General features: G+C 33.0%; 1 protein-coding gene across 11 annotated transcripts in view; it reads left to right on the top strand.

Moving 5' to 3' along the window:
• The window catches only part of MDGA2 (MAM domain containing glycosylphosphatidylinositol anchor 2), an 835,983-nt gene that overhangs the window by 530,606 nt on the left and 280,081 nt on the right, over positions 1-25,296 (top strand). For 10 of the 11 annotated variants that reach the window (NR_103766.2, XM_011536519.3, NM_182830.4 and 7 more), the window contains 2 exons: positions 726-922; positions 13,154-13,286. Coding sequence is in view for 9 of the 11 variants with exons in the window: in XM_011536519.3 (XP_011534821.1) it covers positions 726-922; positions 13,154-13,286 (330 nt within the window). In the remaining 2 variants the exon portion in view is untranslated. Of the gene's footprint in view, positions 1-725; positions 923-13,153; positions 13,287-17,372; positions 17,422-25,296 lie in introns of those variants that run through there. The other variant, XM_017021060.2, reaches the window with a different exon arrangement.

Here is a 25,296-nt window from a genome sequence, read left to right as displayed (position 1 = left end):
TTAATATATAAGTTATAAATAATTGGAAAAAGAAGTATATTAAGACAAAGAGGTCTAGTATAGTAGTTCACGCCTGTAATCTAACACTTTGGGAGACTGAGGTGGGAGGATCGCTTGAAGCCAGGAGTTTAAGACCAGCCTGGACAACATAGCCAGTCCCTGTCTGTACAAAAAAAAAAAAAAATTAGCCGGGCATGGTAGCACATGCCTGTAGTCTCAGCTACTCAGGAGACTGAGGTAGGAGGATGGCTTGGGTTCAGGAGGTTGAGGCTGCAGTAAGCTCTGATTGCGCCACTGGACTTCAGCCTGGTTGACAGAGCAAGACTCTGTTTTAAAAAAAGAAAAAAGAGAAAGAGTAAGTCAAGCAGCCTGATATTAATTTTTTTTTTGTCACTGAGGTTCATTGTTTTGGCTAAGCTCTTGAATTTGAGTGTTGTAAATTTTTATCTCTCTCATGGAACTCTGTTTTATGTGGCTATTGACAAAGAGTTAGAAATATACAAGATTAATTTTACTATATCCACAAATAGAGATACTAATATACTTCTTATCATTGGAAACGTCTTTGTAAATGAATTCAATAAGCTGAGTGAAAAAAAGAGTACCTAGTGGTAAGTAATACAATCAATGAGGAATATGCATTTTTGGTTGGGTTATATAAGCACAATACTTTAAAAGTCATCTATCTCATAACATTGCCATTTGGTTGTTTTTATTTCCTTTAGATTTGGATGATCCAGTAGTAACTGTTCATCAAAGTATAGGTGAAGCTAAAGAACAATTTTACTATGAGAGAACAGTGTTCCTCCGGTGTGTTGCCAATTCCAATCCTCCTGTTCGGTATAGCTGGAGACGTGGCCAGGAGGTCTTGCTGCAAGGATCTGATAAAGGAGTTGAGATTTATGAACCATTCTTTACCCAGGTATGAATTAAGGTACAGTATTTCCACCCTACTCTGCTAGGATACTTTCCTAATTCAGGCAGCATGAATTCATAGCTATTTGAAAAGATAGTTTCTCTATTCTGGCCTTTCAAAAACCAATGTGTGCTTGACTTAAAGATTAGAGAACTTAAATATAAAGGACAACTTATTTTTATGTGGTTAGTTAAATTTAAAATGTTAACTTTTGAAAACATTTTTTAACTTACTATGTCCTAACTTTTTTTTAATCTATAAGTTTTCCTATGTTTCACTATAATGTACATAGTTATACATTTTGCTAGCTGATTTGGGTTTTGTGGAAAGTATTTCTCAAAAGGAGAGATTTTGATTTCCCCATTTGCAAATGGTGAATAACTATTAAAAAAATGAAGAAACTTGTTTGAAATTTATTTGGCTTTAGTTTTAGGAAAGATATGTCTTTAATTTCCTTTAGTCATGTTTGTTTTTGACTTGGTTTAGAAATAGAGCTTTAATTATGCTAAAAATGAAAATATTTAACGAGTCATTAAAAATGTATTTAATAAAAGTTGAATTAATTTTACATAAAGTGAGCGTAATATGAAATATTCTTGTGTAATACACAAAGAGTAAGGAATTAATAAGTCCTGAGGAAGATATTGAAATTCGTGGGAATATTTGCATGCTGTTATTATAAAGGTTTTTTGATGAAAGAAGCATAAACCTAAATTAACAATGAAAAAGTTTTAAATAAAAAAAAATTTGGACAAATGTTCAAAAGTATTGTGATAATGAAAAATAATTTTAAAAATTATATAAATTGGCTAGGCGTGGTGGCTCATGCCTGTACTCTCAGCATTTTGGGAGGCTGAGGCTGAGATGAGGTCAAGAGATTGAGATGATCCTGGCCAACATGGTGAAACCCCATCTCTACTGAAAATACAGAAATTAGCTGGGCATGGTGGCACGTGCCTGTAATCCCAGCTACTCAGGATCCCATTTTTCACCATTGAATATATTTCCTTATATGGTAAACTAAGGCCTGAGATCCTTCAGATTAGTATAATTGCCAATATTTAGACATTAACTGTGGAATAATGCAGTGATTATATGATAACATCTGCACACATCATATATATTCCTGTTTTGCAAATAGATTGTAAATTAAAATATGTATTCTTTATTTTTTAAAAGGTATAGAACAGTTTTAACTTACCAAAATATAAATCTCTGGAAATCAGCATCGCACATGTATTACTAGTCAGTTCACCATAACATAGTACTGAAACGAAGCCTGTTCTAATCTGATCGTCTCTTGATTTAGGCCACTATGATACTAAGTGTTCTCTGCCAGCAGGCAGGACTGAATTTTCCCCCATACATTCCGCAGTACTTTAATGCATTCTCCAATTGTTACTAAAATGATTTTTTTAGTTTAAAATATTATCCAGATAAATGATCATCTATTACATATTTTATTTTTCTATTGTCAATTTATTTTTAAAATATGGACATTAAGATTTAGAAAACATGTTTTCCTCTAGAATCTTGTAAAACATGATAACATTTATAGATAATGAGGAAATTCTAAACATCTTTTCTCTATATGGCTATTTCTTTTTGTTTGTTTGTTTGTTTGTTTGTTTGTTTGTTTTTGAGATGGAGCCTTGCTCTGTCACCTGGGCTGGAGTGCAGTGGCATGATCTCCACTCACTGCAACTTCTGCCTCAGGGTTTAAGCGTTTCTCATGCCTCAGCCTCCTGAGTAGCTGGGATTACAGGCACCTGCCACCACACTGGGCTAATTTTTGTATTTTTAGTAGAGGTGGGGTTTCACCATGTTGGCTAGGCTGATCTCAAGCTCCTGACCTCAAGCAATCCACCTGCCTTGGCCTCCCAATGTGCTGGGATTACAGGTGTGAGCCACCGTGCCCGGCTATATGGCTATTTCTAACCTGCAAATGGGTCTAATCACTTGGAAATGAACACAGGGGCCTTGGCCAGATTTTGGAAAATCTTTCATACTATCAAAGTATTTAGGAATTTATTTTAAATTTATTAAACAAGCACAATCAAACTTTTAAAAAATTGATACATTGTAATTGTCCATATTTATCTGGTATGGTGTGATGTTTTGATACATGTCTACACATTGTATCATAATCAAATCAGGGTATTTAGCATATCCATTACCTGATACATTTATCATTTCTTCATGGTGAGAACATTCAGAACATTCTCGTCTAGCTGTATTGAAACATACAATACAATATTGTTAAATAGTCAACTTATTCTGCAATAGAACACTAGAATTTATTCCTCCAAAGTGTAACTTTGCACCTATTAACCAATCTCTCTCTATTCTCCCTTCTACCTCCCTCTCTCTAACCACTGCTAATGATTATTGTGCTCCCTAATTCTATGAGGTCAACTTCTTTAGATTCCACACATGAGTAGATAATATAGTATTTGTCTTTCTGTACCTTAATTATTTTACTTAACATAATGTCCTCCAGATCCATCCATGTTGCTGGCTCTGGGACAGACCCATCATTTGCAGCAATGTGGGTGGATCTGGAGAACATTATATTAGGTAAAATAAACACTCATTATTTTATAGCTGCATTCATTATTTCATAGCTGAATAGTATTCCATTATGTACATATTCCACATTTTCTTTATCCATTCATCTGTTGATGGACACTTAGGTTTATTCCATATTTTGTCTATTGTGAATAGTCCTGTAATAAATATGGAGGTGCAGGTATCTCCTCGACATACTGTCTTAATTTCTTTTGGATCTATCCAACAGTAGGATTGCTGGATCATATTATAGCTCTATTTTTAATTTTTTGAGGAACCTCTATACTGTTTTCCATAATGGCTGTACTAATTTGCATTCCCGCCAACAGTGTATAAGTGTTCCTCTTTCTCTGCATCCACACCAGAATTTGTTATTTTTTGTCCTTTTGATAATAGCATTCTAATGGGAGGGAGGTGATAGCTCACTGTGGTTTTGTTTTGCATGTCCCTAATAATTAGTGATGTTGAGCATTTTTTCACATAACTGTTGGTCATTTGTATGTATTCTTTTGAGTAATGTCTATTTACATCTTTTGCCCATTTTAAAATGAGATTTTTTTTTGCTATTGAGTTGAGTTCTGTGTATTTTCTAGATATTAACCTCTTATCAAATGCATAGTTTGCAAATATTTTCTCCCATTCTGTAAGTTGTTTCTTCACTGTGTTGATTGTTTCCATTCCTATGCCCAAGCTTTTTAGTTCAATATAATTCTGTTTCTCTATTTCTGTTTCAGTTGCCTGTCCCCAGACCAATGTCATGAAGCATTTCCCCTATGTTTTCTTCTAGTAGTTGTGTTATCTCAGGTCTTACATTTAAGTCTTGAATTCATTTTGAGTTGATGTTTTTATATGCGGAGAGATAGAAGTCTAGCTTTACTTTTCTGCATGTGAATATTCAAGCTTCCCAGCACTATCTACTGAAGACACATTGTCCATTCCCTAATGTGAGATTTTAGCACTTTTGTTGAAAATTCATTGGCTGTAAGTGTGTTGATTTGGTTATGTGCTGTCTATTCCATTCCATTGGTCTCTATGTCTATTTTTATGTCAGTACTATGCTGTTTTGGTTACTATAGTATTGTAGAATATTTTGAAGTCAGATAGTATGATGCCAACTTTGTTGTTTTTGCTCAAAATTGCTTTGGCTGTTTGGGATCTTTTGTGGTTTCATAGAAATTTTGGATTGTGTTTTCCAATATCTGTGAAGAATTTCATTGGTATTTTGACAAGATTGGATTGAATCTGTGGATCACTTTGGATAGCACAGACATTTTAACAATGTTAATTCTTCCAATCCATTAACCTGTGATATCTTCCAATTTAATTGTATCCTCTTCAGTTTTTCTCATCGATGTTTGATGGTTTGAATTGTATCCATCTTTCCCCTCCTTGGTTAAATTTATTTCTAGGTATTCTTTAGTTTGATAATATGGCAGAGGCCTTCTTAACACTGAGGACTCATCATCTCAGAGAAGCCATCTATGAAAAGCTGATATGATGTCTCATTCCTTCCTTTTTATACTTCCATATTGGGTTACTCTTTCCCTGTTTACTTTATCTTTTGCTTATTGTGCTAGTGTTTTTATGCCTCTCTCTCCCTCTCTCCATATGTGTATATATATATATATATATGTGTGTGTGTGTATATATATATATGTGTATATATATGTGTGTATATATATATGTGTATATATATGTGTGTATATATATACATATATATACACATATATATTTGTGTGTATATATGTATATATAACCTTATATAAACATATACATATATACTTCTTAGATGTTATTGATTTCTTGAACTACTGTTTCCCATACTGCCATGTGTACTCTATAATGAAAAAAACTTTTATGTTAGTATTGTTTGTATTGGAGCACTTCAATAATATTTTAATTTTTAAATTTATCTCCTTAGGTTGATAGTCATTGACCTTTGTGGCTTCATGACGTAAATAAGATTCAGTTAAAATAAGATCTAGTATATTCAAGATATGGGCATACCTTTTCCAGAGACACAGAGGTCACTAGGCAAGGCTTCTCCTCTAATGTTTGTTGATATATAAAGGAAAACTTAAGGTGATCAATAATTATGATATAAAATAAAAATCGTTGTCTAAATAGAGCTACACAACACTGCTATGGAGGGAGCACTCAAGGTGGAGACATTAGCACATGCAAGTAATGCAGAAGAAAGACAATGTCTCCAAAGAGTATCTGTATCTCTGGTTAGTTAGAACAATAATTAGTATGTGTGGAGAACAGGGAACTGTGAAGCTGGGAAGTCATACTGGGTATATATGGTGGAAGGGTTCAGATAATAGATCATATGTCTACTTAAGTTTTAATGTTAGAAAATGAAACTTCTTTTGAAGATATGTTTTCAATAATAATGTTATTTAATAATAATGTCTTGTTTTTAATAAAATAGAATTTCTAAGATGAGATATATCTATTTTGTATACCCATTCATTATATGTTAATAACTATAGCAATTTGAATTGAATATTTATTCCTGAATTCTGTTGAGTGACAAAAATCTTGTTTATACCTTTTTATAGACAATGTTTCCAGAAAAAAATTGGTCTGTGTTCCTAAAGCTGATATGAATTCATAAGCACATAATGCAGTATTTCTAAGACGAATAATTATACTTTTCGTCCTTCCACTCACTTACTACTAAAAGACATAGGCCAGCATATATCATTTTCTATTTATAAATTTGTAATAAATTAGTCATTAGAGCTTCATAAAATGAATCTAAATTGACAGACTTTAGTTTTTACTGATATCTAAGTATCAAAATGAATGAATATAATTTTTTTAAAGTTCTAGTTTATTTTATAAGTAATATGGAAATACGGCTTGAGGCTGCTTCATTACAGCAATGTCAGCATTGGTAAGGGCCACTAACTAATATACATTGTATGTCTTCCTTTTATTTCTTTTGTTAAAAAATAATGTCAAAAGTTAAATATATGTATTGCAGATAATTTTGTAATTGTTTAAGAAATGTTAAACAATTGCTTAAATCTTACAAATTGAAAATTCACTTTCCATTAGTCTAGAACTTTTGTAAAGATGTTCATGACATCATCTTGTGTATTGTAATTATACCATCTAATTACAAGACTGAACATATTTACATCAATTACCTAATTAGTTATAATTAGTCTAATTAGACTAATTATACAATTAGACAATAATCAACTCAAAATTCCTTTTTACAAATCATGAAAATTCACTTGCAAAAAGCCTCCCAACACCCAAAGTATCAAATTCAAATGATCAACAAAATAAAATTAATGTTAAAGTAGTTATAAATAGTAAAGCCTAAATTATACTCATTATCACAGGTATACATATATGCCATTTGATAACATTAATCTATGTGTGCACATATTCTCTGCTTTCTTATACATTCTGCTGTATTGTTTTAAAATATTTTTATTATATGCTGACTGTCATGAATTAAGAAGGTAAGGCTCAAAATTTTCCATAATTCTGTTATTTTAAACAATATTCCATTAACAGACTTCATCTGTATTACCCACTCTCCCATTGGCATGGTATATACATTAATCTTACATATTAACTTAGAGACCATGTTACCTGGGCCCTCTAGGTTCACATATCTTGGTATCTTGTTTTCTGACTGCAGGAAATCATTTTAACTCACCCAGAACAACTCTCCAATCCCATGATAGCTGAACCATTGGGAAATCATGGCTCTAGAGGCTTTTCTTTCTTTTTTGTCTATTCTTTACAGTCCATTTTGTTATTGTGTTCTGTGTTTTGTGTTGCCATATAGGAACACCTGAGATTAGGTAATGTATAAAGAAAAGAGATTTATTTGGTTCTCAGTTTTGCAGACTGTACAGGAAGCATGATGTGGCATCTGCGTCTGGTGAGGGCTTCATGCTGCTTTCACTCATGGCAAAAGGCAAAGGGGAGCTGGTATGTGCAGAGATCACATGATGAGAGAGGAAGCAAGAGAGAGAGGGGGAGGTATCAGATTTCTTTTTAACAACCAGCTCTCAAGGAAATTAACAGAGTTAGAACTCACAGCCCCCCTCAGGACATTAATCATCTATTCATGAGGGGTCTGCCCGCATGACCCAGATACCTTTCATTAGGCCCTACCTCCAACATTGGGATTAAATTTCAACATGAAGATTAGGGACAAACATCCAAACTATAGCACCTTCTCCTATGCCAATTTTGTTGCTGTGCTCTGAATAAGAATTAACTAGGATATGGATGTGCATACCATTGTATTTATAGGGCCACACTTGTAGGTCTTTAAAGAATAGAAATCATCTCAAACAGTAGCACAAATTCTCTTTTGTAATATCAATATTACCACCAAATTCATATTTTTTACCTTTAGATAACATAAATACCAGCAGTGTCCATGACCAAAAAAATTCAGGTATACAAAATATTTTAAGGATGCATCCTTTACAAAAGCCACCTCTGCATTTTAATGGCCAGAGCTGCATTGATGTTGATTCTCTGTACTTGATTATTGTATATATTTCCCTTGGGGCTTACCTTTCTTTTACATTCTCTTTTCCATAATTGACTGTTCAGCTCTGCTATGGGTGGCCCCAAATGCAGCTTCATAAATCTATCTTGCAGGCTACCCTAATGTAAAGATTTTTAAAGTTCCTATTACTACCATTAGAGTCAACATGGTTCAGGAAGCTTACTAAAACCTTACTGTGTGCTCTATTCCTATCTAGTCAGCAATCTTTTCTGAGTTGACAACATGCAAAACACTGCCCAAATGGTAGGGAAGAGAATTTGAAGTGATCTCATTAAATGGAAAGGCAGGATCAATACATAGACATAATGTAAATGATAAAAACATATATAAATATATACACAAATGTGACTGATATAAATAGACAAAAGCATTAACTCAAAAAGTAAAGGAGAATACGTATAGGAAGAATACACTTTTAGAGGATGGATCAGAAGTAAGAGCTTTTAGGTTGAAATCTCTTCATATTGAGGCTGGTGCAGTGGCTCATGCCTGTAATCCCAGCACTTTGGGAGGCCAAGGCAGGCAGATCACTTGAGGCCAGGAGTTCCAGACCAGCCTGGTCAATATGGTGAAATCCCGTCTCTACTAAAAATATAAAAATTATCCCAGTGTGATGGCATGCACCTATAATCCCAGCTACTTGGGAGGCTGAAGCATGGGAATCGCTTGAACCTGGAGGCAGAGTTTCAGCGAGCCGAGGTTGCGCCACTGCACTCCAGCCTGGGTGACAGAGCTAAACTATGTCTCAAAAAAAAAAAAAAAAAAAGAGAGAAAACACTTTCTTGAAATAATGGCTGTCAGATAAAATTCAAAAAGACTGGAGAGTAGAGTTGTTTGGTGAAATGGAGAATTAGGGTTGGTGGAAATCAAGTTTGACGTATCTTCCAAGAGGAGAAAGCAAGCCTTGGTGAAAAAAATTAGAAAGAGGAGATTAGTAGCGTTAAACACAGAATAAGTAACTTTAGAATAAATATAAATCTGCGATCATAGCCCCTCTAATATGACCTTTTCCAAGCTTTGAAATCTTATCTCATTTTATGCTCTTTGTTGCGCTGCACTCCAGTCACAATATATTTTTTGAAGGACACATCAGTTCAGATAGGAACAAAAAAATGACTCATAGCAAGGAATGGGGAGCATTAGGAAATCATAAAGAGATACCTCAAGATAGTGACATAACTAATTTGATGAGAATGAAGAGTTTATGTGAGGAATAAGGAAAAAGTGTTTTGCTTAGACTGCATAGAGTCTCAAATGACAAACTAACGGTTTTTGAAATGACCTTTCAGTGAAGGGGAACAATTCAAGGTTTTCTAGCCCTTAAACCTTGACCCCGCCCACCCCCTGAAAAAAAAAGAAAAGAGAATTAGAAATGCAGCATAGATTATCTTAAGAGATCCAAAAGGATAAGAGACTACATTTCTTCTTGGGGAAAATGTTGAGTGGGATAGACCAAAATTTAAGTATGTCCTATAATGTATGCTAGCAAACATTGCAACTCCAAGGACAAGAAAAATTAGGATAATCTAGAATTTATTAATTATAATACTATTGGTGATTTTTAGTAAGTTTGCTTTTTTTCTTTTTGTCTAGAGATTTGTCAGTTATCTATACATTAGTGCTCATTGGAACCATGATAATGGATCAGATTTCACTAGGAATATATTAGTAAAAGGTTGCAGACTTCAGTAACTAGAATATTCAATGGTAAAACAACCAAGAAATGACTAAATTATTATATCTGTAATTAATTGCCTATATACGAGGAGCTGTCACAGTAGTAAAGGTAATCTAAAGTGTTAGAAATAAGCAGAGAAGTATGGAAGCATACAAAAGAAAGGTTTATTAAATTTTAACAAGAGATCATCATCATTAATGAAATTACTAGGTACTATTTCAGTGGAATGTTGGAAAAGTATTATTCAGAAAATGCAAATTGAAACAGAATTTGTCAGTGGAAACAGAAACAAGGACTGACAGAGTATAATTAACTCTATGTGAGTAAAGAGACTTTATTATTAAATATACATCTAAATGACAATGTTCATTATTTGTTTATATCTGAGAATCATTATCACTCCGTGGTTGCTTTTAGAATATTGACTACATGCAGTAAATCTTTCAGAATGATTAGAGGTTGGTTATTTTTGGAGTAATTATGTGTGTGATATATATATATATATATAGTGTGTGTGTGTGTATATATACACACATAAATATGTAATTGCATGTATTATATATTGTTTCATTATATCATCATATATATGTAACTGCATGTATCTGTACCTATATATCATCAATATCTATATCCATGTGTTTTTTCAGTTGTAATTCTACTGATTTTCATTTGTTTTATTTCTTTTGATATGGCTCAAGTTTTGTCTTGAGTTTTGTCCTGATAATTTGTCTTCAGTTCAAATTTCCTTCCAAACCTAAAAGCACAATCTAGATAAATCATTACTAGAGTAACAGACCCACTTTCTTTTTTACAATATGCACAAATATCTATTGATTATCTGTAATAATGTAAGGGAATTTTTCTCTTAAGTGTATTTAGGCTCTGATTATATTTTACTCATTTAATTATATTGAGTTTATACCAGTGCCAAACAAATAGTAAATTCTGGAGAAATAAATATATATAAAGCAAACCTTGGGTAGTTACAGTACTATTAACTGAAAAAGTATTAACTTAAAAATTGTCTCCTCTCTGCTAAGCCCTGTGTCACGTGCCCAGAATATAATGCTGAGAGCAAGACAGACATAATCTCTACTCTCTGGGTACTTACTGGCAAAGGGAGAAGTCTGGCAAGGAGATGGCATAATTAGATTTCATGTATTTAACAAGTGAATAAAAATAATTATGTGAGGTTATGTATATGTTAATTAGCTCGATTGTGATGATTATTTTACAATGTATATCAAAGCACAGTTGTATACCTTAAATGTATACAATTATTTTGTCCATTATACTTCAATAAAGCTGAAAAAAATATTGGTTAAAGTGTAAATCATTGTGGCTTGCTTGCATTCTTAAGCTATACTAAGTACAATCATGAGTTTTTTAGTTGATTGTAGGGTTTAGAGCATTATGATTAAAAATAGATACAAAGAATAATTGGGATTGAACATGAGTAAAGATCAATAAAAGGATCTAGCTGAGAGACAGAGATACTGAATGTATGAATAAGAAGTTATAATTGGGTGTAAATTCCCATTATTACAGAAGGAGGAGTAGGTTTAAAGGAATATATTTGAAGTTCAATTTAGGATATGTTGAGTTCAGATGTGTCTGAAGTATCAGAATGGACATATTGACAAACATTTGTTATGTGTATCTGAAACTTAAGGGAGAATTCTGGAAATGGGGCTTAGACTTGGGAGTGGGGCAAGAAAATAGAGCTTGTAGTAGAAATTCATCAGCAAGGATAATGCCACCTAATGAAATGTTATAAAGTGAGGTTAACTATGGAACAAGTAGAATTCCAAGGAATAACACTAGTCGTATTGAGAGGAGAAAGAAAAGCAAAGAAATTTGAGCAATACGTGTGACAAAGGTAGGAGAGGTAAGATGTATCACTTTATTTAAAAATTATCTGAGTTGACTAATTCTAGCATATCATTTTCTTTCAACTGTTCTTTCTAGCTAAGCCCACTTTCTAGGCATTTTATATCATGTATGGGAATTCTGTAACACAAGAGAATAGTTTTATATATAAACTCTAGAAACATATAGATTTATGTGTATACTTGTATCGGATACATTTATATTTTCTTGTAAGTTAAAAATTCAGTGTTTCTTCTAAACAAAAATTGAAAGGTAGTTTTTTTTTGTTTGTTTGTTTTTTTTTTTTTTACCACTGAGGAAAATGCTAAAGGGGTGACTGATTTAAGACTGAATTTGGACAGTGAATGAAAATACTTATGGCCACAATTCCATGCACACTAGAATAGAGATTCATTTGACAGATTTGCAAAACTGTGTGCCTATGTCTGGGTAAGCTTTCTTGCAAATGAACAGCAGTGTTTTTATGTAGTAAGTCACTAAGTATTCCAGTCCTCCTCTATAACATATGAAAGTATTGCAAGTTTTAGAACTCGACAAATGTTACCCAGGTAAAGTGATGAAACACATTGTTCCGTACACACGTTATCTGGAAAAAATAAACATTTTGAATTTTTATAGTATCCCTAATACTATAAAATCATTGAGACACTGTTTTGCCATTAAAATAAGTAAGTTATTTACAAGAAGAACTATTTTGAGATGATGCATTAATGACTTTAGAAGGCAAAGAAAGCCCAGGGGACCTAATTTGAATTGGGCAGGAGACTACGTTTTGTTGTTTGTTCTTTTTTTCCTTTCAACAATTTCAATCCAATGTTTTTACAAAGTCTTTCTTGGTTCATCAAGAGTTTGTTAGATACTTCTGGCCACTTGCTTGATTTGCATCTATCTACAGTTGTGCAGATTTACCTGGAGAGTTACCCCTTAAACTCTTGAACATGAAATAACAAGAACAATAATAATATAGAAACACTCACGAATGCTTCTTTCCTTCAGTTTTAGATCTGTCACCTGTCATTGCTCCATATACAAAATATTTATGTTTATAAATGTAATTATCTATCATTAGATTTACGTAATTAACTTTGTTCTAACAACCGTGTTTCATTTGTTGGCGCTTCTTCAGATTCTTTTCTTTTGTCTTCTCACATCGATGTCTGAATAGATTGCAGTGTTTGTTGAATGCACTCCATTATTAAGTACACTGCTCTGATCTTTGCATAATAATTTGCATAACTACCACCAGAAATAGACTTTTCCCCTGAGGAAGCTAGTTTGCAAAGAAAATGTTATGAATTTTCATTGTAGTCTGTTAGTTTTTATCTCCAGGCATACTTAATATTACAGTATTATTTTAAAATGCAGTGTTATTTTAAAGTTAGTTCATTTATAACTTATTTGAAAGATAGGACATTTCCCTTAAAAAAAGACAGTCTGTCATATTCTGATAATAATATGATTTAATACAATGTAATGTGATGTGATGTTTCATTCATTCTGGTTGTGTTGGCTTTTTCTAATGACTTTTATTTTTTGTGTACATTTTCAGGGTGAAACAAAGATCTTAAAACTAAAGAATCTTCGACCTCAGGACTATGCTAATTATAGCTGCATTGCTTCAGTGAGGAATGTATGTAATATTCCTGATAAGATGGTGTCGTTTAGACTGTCCAATAAAACAGGTATGGAATTATCTCTGTATGTTACATGTATCTTATCTACAACTAATGTTTAAAAACTCTCTTTAACTTTTTTAAAGACCAAATGATTTCTACGGTGTATGTAGGAATAAGCACCTTTATTCCCAGAAAATCCTGGGATATCTGAAAAGCTTCATACATGGACACAGTAAAATGTCATTGTAATATACTCCATGTAATATGTTTACGTGTATAACATACAAAATTATAGCTCTTTAAAGTATTGCATTCTAAAATGTCACTAACGAGCATATATCCTGTTCAAAAATATTCTTGAGAAATACTAGATTCTACATATAAAAATTCGTGATTGAAGTTGCTAAATGAGTTTTGTGCTTTCAAAGTTAAGTAAAAGAAACTTTCTTTTACTTTGTGTCAAGTCAAGAAAACTAATAGGTAATTTCAGATAGATGTTTTTAGAACAATATTTTTGTAGAAAATGTGAAAACATTAATAGGATTGAAACTTAAGTTAGCCTTTGTTCAATAATATAGACCCCAGAATAACGGTAAACATATTTAGAAGAAATTGATAAATGAAAGAGCAAAGAGAAGGTATATGAGAAAAACATATTTTGTATGAATGTGCATAAAGAATTACTTTAATAAATTAAAATTTGAACTGGTTTTGAGAAACTCCAATTTTTCATATCAATATAAATTTTTACATATATATATTATTATACTTTAAGTTCTAGGGTACATGTGCACAACGTGCAGGTTTGTTACATATGTATACATGGGCCATGTTGGTGTGCTGCACCCATTAACTCGTCATTTACATTAGGTATATAAGTTTTTACTTTTAAGTAACTATATTAGACTAAAGATTTTTAAAGACCCTTTTCCCATTAAACAAAAATCTCTAAAAGTGTGGGCTTTTTTTGTGTCTGGGTCTAGACTCTGCTTGTGCCACTTACTAGCTTTTGCACCTTGTTGAGCAAGTCATCTTACTCTTCTTTGCCTGATTTCCTCATAAACTCATGAAGTTGTAGAAAGAATTAATGAGTGGATACGTATAAAGCATGTGAAACACACTTTATTAGTTCTTCCAACAAAGAGCTGGTCAGCAAATCCAACTAACTCAGTTGATAAAAAGATTAAACCTAGGACTTTATTGTAAAATATATTTTAAAAAGTCAACTATGACATTGGTTCATCAACATGTGTTCCATCGAGTTGCCAAGATTTCAAAATGTTCATTGTTTTATACATTTATTTTTCTATTCATCAGAAACTTATTGGGACCCTCCTATGGTTCAGCAATGGAGGAACACTGATTTTGGCTAAGATTTAAATTGTCTTAAACTAGAGAATGCTCGAAAAACAAGCAATGGGGGAAAGGATTCCCTATTTAATAAATGGTGCTGGGAAAATTGGCTAGCCATAAGTAGAAAGCTGAAACTGGATCCCTTCCTTACACCTTATACAAAAATCAATTCAAGATGGATTAAAGACTTAAATGTTAGACCTAAAACCATAAAAACCCTAGAAGAAAACCTAGGCATTACCATTCAGGACATAGGCATGGGCAAGGACTTCATGTCTAAAACACCAGAAGCAATGGCAACAAAAGCCAAAATTGACAAATGGGATCTAATTAAACTAAAGAGCTTCTGCACAGCAAAAGAAACTACCATCAGAGTGAACAGGCAACCTACAAAATGGGAGAAAATTTTCGCAACCTACTTATCTGACAAAGGGCTAATATCCAGAATCTACAATGAACTCAAACAAATTTACAAGAAAAAAACAAACAACCCCATCAAAAAGTGGGCGAAGGACATGAACAGACACTTCTCAAAAGAAGACATTTATGCAGCCAAAAAACACATGAAAAAATGCTCGTCATCACTGGCCATCAGAGAAATGCAAATCAAAACCACAATGAGATACCATCTCACACCAGTTAGAATGGCAATCATTAAAAAGTCAGGAAACAACAGGTGCTGGAGAGGATGTGGAGAAATAGGAACACTTTTACACTGTTGGTGGGACTGTAAACTAGTTCAACCATTGTGGAAGTCAGTGTGGCGATTCCTCCGGGATCTAGAACTAGAAATACCATTTGACCCAGCCATCCCATTACTGGGTATATACCCAAAGGACTATAAATCATGCTGCTATAAAGACACATGCACACGTATGTTTATTGCGGCATTATTCACAATAGCAAAGACTTGGAACCAACCCAAATGTCCAACAATGATAGACTGGATTAAGAAAATGTGGCACATATACACCATGGAATACTATGCAGCCATAAAAAAGGATGAGTTCATGTCCTTTGTGGGGACATGGATGAAATTGGAAATCTTCATTCTCAGTAAACTATCGCAAGAACAAAAAACCAAACACCGCATATTCTCACTCATAGGTGGGAATTGAACAATGAGATCACATGGACACAGGAAGGGGAACATCACACTCTGGGGACTGTTGTGGGGTCGGGGGGGGAGCTATAGCATTGGGAGATATACCTAATGCTAGATGACGAGTTAGTGGGTGCAGTGCACCAGCATGGCACATGTATACATATGTAACTAACCTGCACATTGTGCACATGTACCCTAAAACTTAAAGTATAATAATAAAAGAAAAAAAAAAACTAGAGAATGCTCTATTTCGTATAGTTAAAAGTCATTAAAATACAAGAACAATGAGAGAAAATTAAACTTTATCAATAATCATAAGAAATAGTTGATGGAGGCTGGGCACGGTGGCTCACTCCTGTAATCCCAGCACTTTGGGAGGCCGAGGTGGGCAGATCACGAGGTCAGGAGATTGAGACCATCCTGGCTAACACAGTGAAACCTCGTCTCAAAATACAAAACATTAGCCGGGCATGGTGGCAGGCGACTGTAGTCCCAGCTGCTTGGGAGGCTGAGGCAGGAAAATGGCGTGAACTCAGGAGGTGGAGGTTGCAGTGAGCTGAGATAGCGCCACTGCACTCCAGCCTGGGTGACAGTGAGAGACTGTCTCAAAAAAAAAAAAAAAAGTGATGGAAATTATGTTGCAGAAAAAAATAGAAATATAAAATCTTAGTGGACTTAGCACTTATAAAAGTTAATCTCATCTGACTTAAAAAAGGGGAAATTGGATATTGAGAAACAAGAATAAACAGGTTAACATATAAGAACTGGTTATAATTATGTTATTCTTCATGGCATGAAATGTATTGTGCCTTATAACTAATTTTGTTTTTCTTAGCTTCTTTAATTTTTTTGAAATATATAGATACAGAGAAAATTAAAAATAAAATGAAAGTATGGCCTATGGGATGAATAAAAGAATTACTATGGAATGAGGAAGAAAAAAACACTAGTATATATTATTAATTAAGTTACCACTTTGCACTTTAGCAGTGCCTTATTAATTTTTAAAATCTTTAGTGTTTTTATCTCAGTTTATTTTTATAACTATAGGAACATAAACAGGTAGATTTTTCTTGTCATGTATTTTTCTATCATCTGACACATAATGAACTGTCCTGCAGCAATTAAAGCATCCTCACTGGATTGTTTTGAGAATGAACTAAATTGACTTATGCAAAAATTCTTTAAAGACAAAGATAACCAATAAAATTATATTTAATATTTTTATGTTGTAGATGTGATTTTTATCATTTTCCAAGGTCCCACAGCTCATAAGGAATGGGGACTAGATTGACTCCAGTGTTTGAAGAGTTATTCTAAATAGGAGACTGACAGCTCTTCTTAGTTTTCACAGAGATGGAGAAAATGAACTTAAATCTCAGCCAGAGTGTTTTGTTAGGAATAAATAAGGACTTCATACCTTAAAGCCAAAAGGGGAAGATTACCAGGAAAAGTGATAGAATTCCTGAGATCTTTTAAAGTAACTGGATGACTTTATTTCTGTGATTATTAAAAAAAAAAATTTGGCTTAGAAAACAGTCTTTGAATACCTGTTCTATGGAGGTCACAGGAGTGCTGTACTAGAGATACTTTATTTAACCTTTCAGCTTTATGTTGCATTTTTTATTTTTCAGCTAATATGTATCTAGACTGGGCAAACATAAAAACCTATTATTCACCTTTATAAATTATCTCACAAAGTTTTTGATTGATGTTCACTGCAAAATGAGTATTAGAATTATGGTAAGTAATTGAGTTTAAAAATATAAACTAGTACCTATTCAACTCTTCAGTAACTGTAATCAGACATGTCATATGCTTCATACTTTACACATTCAAACTGGGTTCACTTCAGAAATTTTTCCATCTGGTGGTGCTCATAGTTGGAAGGGTTTGTGAATTTCAAATAGGTGAAATAAATGAGGTAGCTTTCAAAATACACAGGGTATAAATTAAGCTTAGAACATCCTCATGCAAATGAGTCTGTAAACTACAAGTAATTGCATGCGAGATATTTCATTGCTCTTTTAATAGTGGAAGAGGAACATAAGTTACCATTGCTATAATCAATGTGAAAGTCAGTTGCTCCTAGTGATTCTTACTGTTTTGAATCTCTAAGTGATGTACGTAAAATTACTGTATTTTAAACTGTTGGTTTGCAAAATGTCAAGGAAAATGTGTACCTTATTGAAAGAAGAAAATTATACATATTGTAATATGTTTCGTTAATCTTCTCTGTAAACCAATATGTTTATAAAAGTCTTACTTTACTTTAGAAATTATTCTTTCAATGAATGTCAAATAATTGGCTAATCAATGTACTTTTGGTAGAGACAAAATGCCACTGGAACATCTCCACAATCACATCAACTTTTTAATTGCAGTCAGTCTATGGACCTGATTTGCACAATGCCCAAATGATACAGGATGTAAAGATGGAAACAATGTATACTAGAAGTAAAAATGTCTAAAAAGTTCTTACTGCAGAACAGTTACACCATGGAGTAAGTTTTCTGGCTCCATCCCATACCTGCTGAACTAGACTTCCTGGCAGATGGCCTGGCAATGTATACACTTTAAACAAGTTTAAATAATTACTTTGGATGATAATAATATGTAGTCCTTGTTATCCTACTGTTTCCATGAGCCCATTCCATTTTGTGAATAGAAATTAATTATCTAGAACTGCTTCGAAAGGCAGTGTCTAGGTGTCATGATAAAGTCAATGTCATCTGTAGAATTCCAGTGATGTGGTTTCTTAACTTTCCTACTGTGAAATAGCATTGTGGTGGAACTCATAATTGTATATCAGCCAGAGAAAGTGTTAATTAATTTGTTGACTCCCATTTCTTGTTTGGCATGCTATGAAAATGTCTCCTGCCACAGAAGTGTCATTATGTATCACACCTAATCTAGCTGTCTTAAAATTTATCAAGACAGTTCATAGAATTTTATAAAAGATAAAGTGACTTATTTATTTATTTATTGTCATGCACCCTGACCAATTGACACAGTGCTTAGGAGGGTCTAGAAGTTGTTTTGGTTGTTTCCCTACTCATATTTGGATGAAAAGGGGGCTTACCTCTTGATTGGTAAATTATTTTTAAAATTTATATATATCTTTAACCTGGGAGCATAAATTCAAATTGCCATGAATATATACTCCCTTGATTGGTAAATTCTTAATGTAGCTGTATTTCTCATAGTTTATTAAAATAAGCCTGTTAAAATTTATAAGTTTAGATGGTAATATAGGTGTATTTTGAAATTATCATAATTAGGATAACTGAGTATAAATTATTTTAAATTTCTTATATTATGTGTGTTACCAACACTAGGACACATAGAAATTATGATAAAACAAGTTTTATTTATTTTAATGAATTTCAAGCACTTATGACTTGATGTCTCACAACTTCAAAGGCAAATAAGAATTAAGTAGGTTACCTATATTAGGATGAAAAACATATTTTTTACCTGCTTGAGAGGTTATGATGAAGTGTATAAAAAAGGGATAGGTGTGGCTCATTTGGCCTAATTATATAAGTCCCTTGATTTAGTCTGCTCTACCTTAGCATTTATAAACATTATCTAATTAAGATATCATCTTTAAATGGGATTTAATTCAAGAAACCAAGCCATAAAAGTATTACTGGCTATAGAAATAGAGGGAAAATATTTATCTTTCTCCTCCCTCCCTCTCTCACTTATTCTTCAATTTTTTTTCCTTTCTCTTCTACTCTTTTTTTTTCTTTTTGTCTCAATAAATTTTCATGGAAAAAGATAGAGGTCAAGAAACGTCTTTGTTTCCTATGTTAGGCAACTATTATCTCTTTTTATTATTTTATATAGCTCTTAGGAAAGTTATGATATAAATGTCCAGAAATTGTTGTGAATTTCAGTATAAAACCTTTGGTATACTGTTATCTATTCATGATAGTTCTCTTCATGTTTAGAGGAATTTAACTAACTTACTTAAGCCTTATGAAAAAGAAAATATCTTAGTTATATAAATTTTGATAGCTGTGGGCATGAAACAAAATACAAAAACAATTTCTCTTGCGATATGCTACACCTATGGTCATAGACAGCCAGTGTAAGTGCAAGAGGAAGTAGCAGCAAAGATTTTGCCGTAACTTGCACCTTAGTACTAACATCAGCCATTTTCCTTAGCCATATGAATTTCTCTAGCCTCTTGTGTTTAGATGATCTTCATAGCATCTAGATAATCAAGAGAATCATTTATTAGAATCTAGATATGCTAGTTAACCATCAATAACAGTTTTTAAGGACTATTTAGGTTTGTGAAAATAGATGGTATACGTATGATGATGTCCTATGTTAGTCAGCTTGGGCTGCCATAGCAGAGCACCACAGACTGAGTGACTGAAACGGTAGAAATTTATATTCTCATAGGTCTAGAGGTCAAAAGTTTACAAGGTGCCATCAGGGTTGGTTTCTGGTGAAGGCTATTTTCTTGGCTTGCGGATGGCTGCTTTCTTGCTGTGTCTTCATATAACCTTTCCTCTGTGCATTCATGGAGGGAAAGAGAGAAAGCTCTAGTGTCCCTTCCTCTAGTGTCCCAAACATGGACACTAGCCATATTTGATTAGAGTCTCATCCTTAGGACCTCATTTACCCTTGGTTACCTCTCTGTAAAAGCCCTATCTCCAAATACAGTCACACAGACAGGATTCAGGATATGAATTTGGAGGGAAAGACACAATTCAGTCTATAATACTCCCAAATTACTGAATGTGGACTTTGCATTTAGGATTGCTTTTCCTTAAAATTTCAGACATAAGTTTATAATATATGCTAAATCAAAGCAAGAAAATGAGTCAGATATGTTAAAGAGCCTATTCCTCACTGAGAACTCAAATTAAAGAAGTGACTCTATTGAGAACATTTATGGCCTTGTATTCTTAGCTTTGGGGAAATACAAAGAACACAACTCTAAAGGAAGAAGGTAAGATGAAATTTTAGGGAGAGACAGATATCACTCCTGTTATACATCATGGATTTTTAAAAGCATCGTCAAAAGATTACAGCAGGGACATAAATGATAAGTCAGTGAACTTGTGCATTATTCTTGGATTTTTTTCCCTGAGTTTCTTTTTCAGTGAGGGCAAAGCTAATATGTGAAATGGAAGAAAAAACATTGGACTTTTCACCTTTCATGCGCTAAAATATTGGAAATATGGGTGCTTTAATAATTTTTTATCATAGATAATAATCCAGGTTATCTGAACAACAGTGTTTACTACTACAGCCAATAATGGAACACAACAAATCTTATTAGAATATTGTAGATATAGAGAATAAGATGTTCCCTGTAACTCTTTTGCATAAGTTTTAACATTCAAAAGTATAAGGTTTAAATTTTGGTTCTGAAATCTTTTATGATGTTACTAATAGTTAGCTTCTCTAAACTTATTTTTCACCTTCTTAAAAATGAAGAAAACATTTTTGTTTTCAAAAATAATAACACATGGGCATCTTTTGGGGACAGCATTGTTCTGCCTACAGGGTATAGCTTCAATCATGGATGATTAATCTTGAAATAAGTTCATGATCATTTTATGGATGACTTTTGTCACTGCATATGTTAGATATTAGTATTTCCCACTAAAATCTATAGAAATGACTCATATTCTAGGTATATTTATATCTAACCTATTAGGAGAACAAATGTTTAACATAAATACAAAATATTTTTTATGAAATTGATAATGGTTTATTAGGAAATAGAAGAAACTTGCAAGGTTGTGGTTGTTGATATTCAACAGATTCTTCATTTCAGTGCTCTGTCATTTCCTAAGGTAATCAAGCACATATATGACCTATTTTCACTAATGTAACTTCAGAAATGTAAAAATATAGATGATGATAAGACAGCAAATCTTGAACAGAAGCAATGGTCATTAAGAGGTTTCAACTTTGGTTTTCCTAAGGCAGTATCCAGAGCAATAAGATGACCCAGATTTTTTAAAATTCTATTACTGTCATAAAAGGAAGTTTGCATGTTGCTGAGATCGCCCTACATTGGTGCATTTTGTTGTCCTACCAATGAAATTTTTGTATTTCTTTATTCAAATGTATCTTGAAACTATGGGTTCTTAACATAAATATACCCCATAAACTAGTAACTCTCCCAGAAGATATCATAATCCAGATACAATAAACAGCCTTAGTCAAATGAAAGACAACACTAAAAGCCATCTCACAATACAAATATTTTGGACCATATCAAATAATCTGTGTTTTAGCAAACATCTAGGATATTCATTGATTATATTTTTCTAACTTTAAATATGTATTATTTTTAATATGCTGTTAGATTATAATTGAAAAATTTAAAATAATTATTCATTAGAAAATCTTGCAAAAGTCCAGACCATGTATTTTGTATTTGTTTCAGTAGATTGGGTCGAGGATATGCTAAAATAAAGTAATAGGATTTTTTATACTCCTAAGAACAATTAATTTTTAATTTTCAAACTTGCTAGATTATGGATTTGTAGACCACAGCTTGGTTCTTTTCAGAGTTTTACTGGTCTAGTGAAATACTAAGAATTGCATTATCATAGGCAATAATTCAGTTGGTAGAAATACATTTTACAATTTCTTGATGATTTTTGAGCTAGTCACATATAACTTGTGGCTTAGAATAGCTCCATGATCATTTACTGACAATTTGCTTTTATAGGTTACTGGCTCTAACAAAGGAGATACAATAAAATACAAAATATTATTTTCTTAAGTTCATGTGGCCAGTCATATTACTTATTCACTCCGAATACTAGGATAGATTATGTCAAAATGTCATCTTTAGGCAGGGCAACCATCCTAATTTGCCTTGGACTCACTGGAAGTCCCACATCCTGGGAAACCCAATAGTCCCCCCAAAACAAAACAATTGGTCACTCAATGAAAAAATCCACTATCCAGCCTACCTCCATGTAAGATTCAAGTCTTAATGTCAATTATTAATGTTGGTGCATATGGAGCCTTAAACAACTCTACCTAAAGAAGCATTATTGAACAAGAGCTGGGTGTGGATTCTGGTTCTCTCTACAGTAGAGTAGTATGATCAATTCCTTCAACTCTGTGAATTTGCTTTCTGCTAAATCATGTTTATGAGGTGTTCTAGGGTAGGTAACATAATGATGGGAATAGAATGCTCACAATAAAATTTCACATTTATTTAGCAAAATAATGACAATAACAACAATAATAAAACACAGAGGAAATGAGGTTGCTACAAAGGAGTAGATGCAGCCCATAAGTACACAGCTGCCCTTGAGCCCCAAGGTCCATGCAAGCAAAGTTTAGGCATACAGAATTTGAGAAGATTAATACCTGATTGTGCTATTATCCTTTTATACATGGGGCTTACATGATTATTTCTTAAAAATTAACTGACAAGTTATTTCTGGACCTAATGCACATATTTGAGTGACTCTTTGCAAATATTTGTGCTATCAATATTTCTAGTAGAAAAAGTCACTGTCAGGAAGATTTTATCCTAACTTAAGAGAAGATGCATACCTAGCCACTGTTCTTCTCCAAGCTGTAAGGCATTTACAGTACCAGTTTCCCCAGATTCATACCTCACTACAGATATTGTGAAGATAAAATTAAATCATATGTTTATAGTAACTGGCAAATAGTAGGCTCTTAGTTATGGTGGTGGTAGTGGGTGTACTGAAAATATCCTTTGTGAAGAAAGAAAAGAGGCTTTCTAAAATATCATCTAGCTCATCAATTTTCCTTTTTCTTTCTTATTTAGTGAAAAGTATCAATGATATAATCTATCTACTAATATATATATTCAGAAGTAATATTAAATCATAGCGAAATTCCAAAATTTTGTCAATAGTTGGCAAAATAAGTAAATATAAAATATTGTATATCCATTTAATGTAAATTATATTACTATTATGCATGTTAGAGTGAGTATGTTTATTACATTAGTTCTGCTGAATTTTCTAAAGCCTTTTTGGAATATTCTATATTTACTTTCTTAATGAAGAAACCTAAACATGTTCTTATTGTGTCTGAAGACCAAGCAAACTAATCAGTGCCAGGTAAATACAATTTTTAAAAATATTTTAGTAGGAAAATAGAAACTGGTTTTTATCTCACCAAAGAACGCTTATAGGATACATCTCCAAGTTACAGACAAGGCAAAATGCAAACAGCTCTCCTTTGGCTCAGTTATAAATGAGTGAGTTTTTCCCCCCTGATATTCTGATATGATGAAATACATTTTTGTTAAATCTTCATGCTAAAATATTTATGCTTTCAAAACATTTTTCTGATGTTAGCTACACTCATAGGATTTAATAATGTGGTATAGCTAAATTTAGCCTTGGGGCCACTGTTAATATTACAGAGGCATGTGTACCACAACTCGGCATGATTTACAACATCCACATTGGTTTACGTGGAGCTTTTAATTAAATCAGAAAAAAATGACTCTATGTGGTAGTTCATATTGTAGGGATAGTGTATCCAGTCCATTGTTATAAGGACTAACAGGAGAGAAGATTGGTATGCTGGGAAATAGTGAACAGGTCAAGTATCAGAGATATATTAGCATCAACCTTTAACTGTACATCTGGATGCAGCATGTACTTTTTGTCTGCAGTTGTGGCAATTATTTCCAAAGCATCACAGTAATTTCAGCTGTTCCCTCAATTTCCAGCTTCTGCAAAGTCTCTTCTAAGAGCCACCTTTATATTTATTTTTTTCTTGATAACAACATACTCTTCTTGCTACTCTTCTGTTCCTGAAGAAAATAGGTATGTCTAGTTGTTTAGTAATATGCTTTAGTTCATATTTCAAAGGTATTTCTTTCTTCTACCTCCTTTTAGTCATTCTGCTTTAGTTGCTGTATTCTACTGTTTAATCATTTATGGATTGCATTTTCAATCACATTCTATCCAATAAATCTGCAGTTAGTCAGCAGTATTGGTTTTTGATAGGCACCCTGTGTCACAGGAATTTTTTTATTGGAACCTTGCCCTCATGTTCTGGGGACCTATTGCCTTGGTTTCACAAGCATGGAAATAATCAAGAGACAAGGTATTGGATTTTGGGCACAAATAGGTGTGACAATTAAAGCTACTCTTTACGTTTTTACTTTAAGAAGCTACTCTTAAAGTCTTTTCTTTGATTTGGCATTATGACATTGTACTCAACCAAGGAAAAGGTAGGATCTGTAGTCTTCCCGGTGAAGCGTCACTGGGTAGTGTAGTGTCTTTTTAGAAAATTCTTCAAAACCAATTTTCTTTGTTTTGCTGGCAAATGTTTGTAGTTCTGAAATGACCAAATAGAGGTAATTTTATACAGCTTGATTTAACAAGTAACAGTAGATGAGAATCCTTCAAAATGATTGTCACATATTAAGTGCAAATTAAAATACCTATGTCCAAAGTGAAGAGAGAAAATATTAGGCACCACAGGAAAGATATAAACAAAGCTATTGGAAAAGAAAGCAGGTAATATGGGTTCTTTATTTATCTGGTATTCAATATACAAAGACAATTGTCTTGAAGGGGAAAAAAGGAGGAAAAGAGACTAAATTCTTTCTATTCTTAATATGTCTTTCTA

This window comes from Homo sapiens, chromosome 14 (assembly GCF_000001405.40).
Source record: "Homo sapiens chromosome 14, GRCh38.p14 Primary Assembly".
NCBI lineage: Eukaryota > Metazoa > Chordata > Mammalia > Primates > Hominidae > Homo > Homo sapiens.
Note: the sequence above shows the minus strand (reverse complement) of the source record. Positions and strands in the feature narration are given on the sequence as shown.